We start from the raw sequence: 5,588 nt of genomic DNA, 5'->3' as shown, positions 1-5,588 counted from the left end.
TTTATCAGCATTTCCTAAAGTAACCCCATTGTCAGCATCTCCCTCAGTCATGCATATTTAGATCCTCATGGCTTGTGACAGTGTCTTGGAGAGTTGTCTAGAGCTCCTGAGATGGAAACCAGGATCCTATGTAGTGAAATCTCCTTACCCAGCCCTGTTGGGTGGCACTGAACATTGTAACTAGTCTTTCTGAAGCTTGATTTTCTTATTTCTCAAAGGCCAATCACTCAAGGCAGGTGGGCAGATCACTTGAGGTCAGGAGTTTGAGAGCAGCCTGGCCAACATGGTGAAACCCTGTCTCTACTAAAAATACAAAAATTAGCCAGGCATGGTGGCAGGTGCCTGTAGTCTCAGCTACTCGGAGGCTGAGGCAGGGGAATTGCTTGAACCCAGGAGGTGGAGGTTGTAGTGAGTGGAGGTCGCACCACTGCACTCCAAATGAGACTCCATGTCAAAAAACTAAAAATAAAAATATAAAATTACATATGTTTCTTGCATTTTATTTCCATTGGCCATCAAGTGATTGTTGCTAAAAGCTAAATCTAAAAATCCCCTAATAAATAAACTATGAGGGTATATCTAAATACAAATTGGATACTCAGAAGTAAAAACCCTCTGAGCAGAAATAAAGCTCACCAAGGTTGGTTTCTTCCTCTGTTCCACTTCCTCCCCATATGGCATTTAGAGATATGAAAGTGGGGGAGGATAATAATTCACACTTCAAAACCAAATGCTCTGGTGGTGCTCCTATAATTAACTCCATTAATGGTAGGCTGTGACCCATGTTTTAAACATCTGTTCTGCTCTCAGATTGAGTGTGTCAAAGCAATGTCTTTTGAAGGAATTGGAAGGGGAATACAAAGGAGCTGTATTTTAGGGAGCTCTGAAATATGTGGCTCCTGGTGTGTGATGGCCTTCAGATAGAATTCCTACCACACCCTAAAAGACTACAGAATCTGGGCTCCTACCAAGATCCTCCCACTCATTCCCTTCTGTCCTCATTGTCTTCGTCTGGTCCTTGAAAGGCCAATCATGTTGTATTGCCTTGACTCTCCTTAGAACTTTCTTCCCCCATACTTTGTACTTCATTCAGGTCTCTGATCAAAATGTCCCCTCTTTTCTTGATTTCCTTATATAAAATAGATGCTATTTTGCCACAACCAATTGTATTTCCTTACCCTACTTCATTTTGCATACAGTACCTGACATTACATTACATAGTTATTTGATAAATTGTGTATTGCCTCTGTCTCCCACTAGAACATAAGACCAGTGAGTGCAGGGACATTATCTAATGCATTGTTTTATCCTCAGTGTCCAGAGCAGGAACTGGCATAAAATCATCTCCTGGTAAATATTTGTGCCCTGAATGAATTTCACTCTTTCTTAATTGTATATTTTCCACCAGGCCCAAAGTTCCAGATTGATGCTTATTCATGTGTTTCTCCTCCATGTTTCTTTGTGATTTAACTGATGTGCTTTTCCCGGGGCAAGAGTCTTACCTTCCATTTTTGTTTTACTTTCTGAATTTCCTTTTAATAATTAATAAGTATCTTTGCCTAATCAACCATTATTTTTTTCAATCCAAACTATTTGTTACTCAGGACTTAAAGGACTAGTTAGAAGTTTGGCTACAAAAGGTTTGGCAGGTTTTAAAGGCCTCCAAACATGGTTCAGTTAATTCATTATGCAAACTTTGCAACCACAAATCACTGGAACACAGGAAAGATTAATGGAACAGTGCAAGGAGACTTAAGGCAGATTTTGGAAAAATAGATTCCTTGAATTATTTACTATTTATGTTGATTGGGAAAAACAGAAGTTACTGGTTACCATTGTAGGAGGGTAGCAGAATATACCACTTCAAAATATGCCATTTTGGCATCAGGATTATTTTGAGCTGAAGGCAATTGAGAAGATGCGGATACAAGAAAACCTCTCTATCCTTTATTTCCCTAAAAACAGTGCATAAATTTGCGTAGATGTCCCCCCCTCTCTCTACTATGAAGAACAAAAGTTAATCAACATAGACAACTTTAGACCTTTATGAGCCTAGAGATGGCACCAGAGGAACCTACATAACAAACTTTACTAATTAGCCCTTAACCTTCCACTTTTTCCTCATGTATTTGCCTTTCCACAATCTGTTGCCCCTAGAAATGCAAAGTCCTTTTCCTTTGTCTTGTCAGTTATCTAAAAATGTATTGTTCCTCGGCTAAGATGCTAGATAATCTCAAATTAGAACCAATCCTTTAAGTTAGTCATCTATGGGTACTCCTGTATGTAAGCACCATGCACATGCTAATAAATTGTTTTTCTCTTGTTAATCTGTCTTTTGTCAATCTAATTTACAAGGCCCTAGCCAGGCTCTAGTGATCCTCTCATCTTGACCTCCCAAAGTGCAGGGATTAAACAAAAACAAAAACCAACCCCTGAAATGTACCTTTAGATATAAAGTTACAGAATATTGCCATTTTCTCAAAGGTAATGTATATGAACAGATACTAATGATGAGGCAATGGGATGAAGTGTTAGGCTTTTCTTCTCACCTATTTGTTTTGACTAAGTCTGGTTCTTTCGTTAGTCTTCTGTTTGGCCAGCTGATCTTTGAAATGGGTGTGTGAGCACCATACCCTCCCACAGGACTGCAACTTTGACGTCAGCAAGCTTCATTAGCTGCTGTTTGTCTAACCAAAGAGAACACGGGAAAGGTGGAATCTGTCTTTTAATTATCTGTCTGCCCACACGCCAGGTGTCACTTGCCCAACATTCAGACATCAAATAGACCAAGCCAAGCAAGGGAACACGGAACAACAGGAACAAAAGGCATAAAAGGAACCCAAGAGAGGCTGCTGGGAGAGCAGATTTCACTGTTGTGCTTCATGAAAGTATAGAGACACGATGTACCTAGAAGTTAAGCGGACCCAGATTTGTATCCTAGCTTTGCCACTATCAGCCGAGAGACTTTTTGCAAGTTATTTAAATGTCTGAGCCTTATTTCCAAGATTAAAACAGGAATAACAATACAAACCTTCCAGGTTTTTTTTTTAAATTAATGAGTGACATGTATGTAAACCATGTGCTGCATTGTACTACTCAATAACTAGTAGGAGTTATTGTTTCTGATATTCTAGGAAGAAAGAGGGCATATGATGATGTCTTATTTCATGTCTCATGCTCACATCGACACTGACTATGGAACCAGCTTGCAGAGGGATGCCCTGGAGCCAGAGCCACCACACAAACATTTTTTGCCCACTTGAAACTTCTCACTTCAGCCTCCACTAGGTTTCTGTTCTGTGGAAACCACAAGATCACATAAATTTCTCTAGAGTAGGAAGTGAAGCTACAAGAATCTTTGGTGTGTCAAGCTGGTATGACCCTTCCCTTGGGTCAGAGCCTTGAGGGAGCTAGCATAGAATCACAGTCCAGATACAAATAAGACTTTTACCAAGGCCAAGGGAGAACCCAAATACATAAACGAGAGTTGAAGTAAAGGAGAAGGCAGTAGGGTTAGCCATTAATTTAGCCAAAGATCATCCTGTGTATTAGCAGGTAACCTTGGGCATGTTACCTAACCCAAGTCTTATTTTCCATTGCTGTAAAATAGGGATAATGAATACCTACCTCAAAGGTTTATTACCATGATCAAATATGATAACATTGGTGAAGCACCTTACAGATTACTCAATACTTAACAAGTACTCAAAATGTCAGTTGATACCTCCTTTCCACAAATCCTCTTTCTCATATAGCAATGTGTTGGAGCTGGCTCACACTGGAGCTACGTGCAATTGTGTTCATCTCTTCCCCACTTCATGTTCAGGGATATCATGTGGATTACTTGAAATTTGCTATGGTGGGAGTATTTACACCATGGATATTGGCAAATTGCTGTAAGTCAGGGCTTCCTCAATACCTTCCACCAAGAAAAAGCTCATTTTAAAACCTTAATCAGCATACCACTAGGTATTGAGCAGGTAATTTAACATCTTTGACCCTCAGTCTCCTCATCTTTCAATGAGGGAGAATACAATTCTTTCAACCTCACAAGAATTTTGTGTCAACATAATAAAAAATGGAAAATGACTTGAGAGTAGTGATGATTAATATTGTTAGCTAGAGAAGGTGCTGATGTATTTCTTCCTGAAAATAACAAGTCCTAGTTTTTCTGAATATTCTGGGAAGGAAGAAGATCATAGGTGAACATCTCAAGTAGAATAAGGTTGGCATACTTACCTTCTAACCAAATACACTCAAGTATATATGTGCTAGGTCCTATGCTGATGCCAAGGCTATAACAGTGGTGAAGATAGACTCTCTGCCTTTAGAGGGCTTAGTATAAGGGAAGACAGGCTAGCAAACAAGAGTAACCATCTTGAGAGATAAGTGTAATGACAGAGGTAAGCATAGGTTGCTCTAGAACTATGCTATCTAATGTGGTAACCACTAGCCACATATAGCTACATTTCAAGTATGAAATGTGGGTAGACCAGAATGACATGTGCTGTAAATGTAAAACACACCAGATTTTGAAGACTTACCATTAAAAAAAGTAGACTATCTCATCAATAATTGTATTATGTTATTTGTTGAAATATTAACATTTTGAATGTGTTGGGTTAAATAAAACATTATCAAAATCAATTTCATTGGTTTCTTTTTTACTTTTTAAATACAGCTACCAGAAAATTTTAAATTACATATTTTTCGCCTGTAGTCCCAATAATTTGGGAGGCTGAGGTGGGCAGATCACTTGAGGTCAGGAGCTTGAGGGCAGCCTGGCCAACATGGTGAAACCTTGTCTCTACTAAAAATACAAAAATTAGCCAGGCATGGTGGCAGGTGCCTGTAATCTCAGCTACTCGGAGGCTGAGGCAGGGGAATTGCTTGAACCCAGGAGGTGGAGGTTGTAGTGAGCAGAGGTCATGCCACTGCACTCCATACGAGACTCCATGTCAAAAAAATAAAAATAAAAATAAAAAATTACATATGTTTCTTGCATTTTATTTCCATTGGCCACTTGTACAGCTTCTTTGGAGAAATGTCTATTGAAATCCTTTGCCTGTTTTAAAATTGAGTTGTTTGTCTTTCTGTTGTTAAGTTGTAAGTGTTCTTTATTATTCTAAATACTAGACCCTTATCAGATAAATAATTTGAAAAAATTTCCCCCGATCTGTGGGTTGTCTTTTCACTTTCTTAATAGTATCTTTTTTGAGATTGTTTTGCCTATTCCAGGTCTCTTTCGTTTCTGTATTAATTTTAGAATTAACTCATCCTTTTCTTCAAAGAAGGTAGCTGGAATTTTGATAGACATTGCATTGAATCTGTAGTTCAATGTGGCGAATATTAACATCATCATAATATTAAATCTTCCAACCCATGAACATTTATTTAGGTGTTCTTTAATTTCTTTCTGCAATGTTTTGTAGTTTTCAGTGTACATGAAACTTGGTTAAATCTTTGCCTAATTATTTTATTTTATATGCTATTACAAATTGTCATAGTGGAATTATAGTGACTTTATTAGGGCTTGCTTTGACTGTATATTTCCCCAATTTCTCTGTTCAGCTATCTGCTTCTGTTAG

Source organism: Homo sapiens, chromosome 6, assembly GCF_000001405.40.
Source record: "Homo sapiens chromosome 6, GRCh38.p14 Primary Assembly".
Lineage (NCBI taxonomy): Eukaryota > Metazoa > Chordata > Mammalia > Primates > Hominidae > Homo > Homo sapiens.
Note: the sequence above shows the minus strand (reverse complement) of the source record.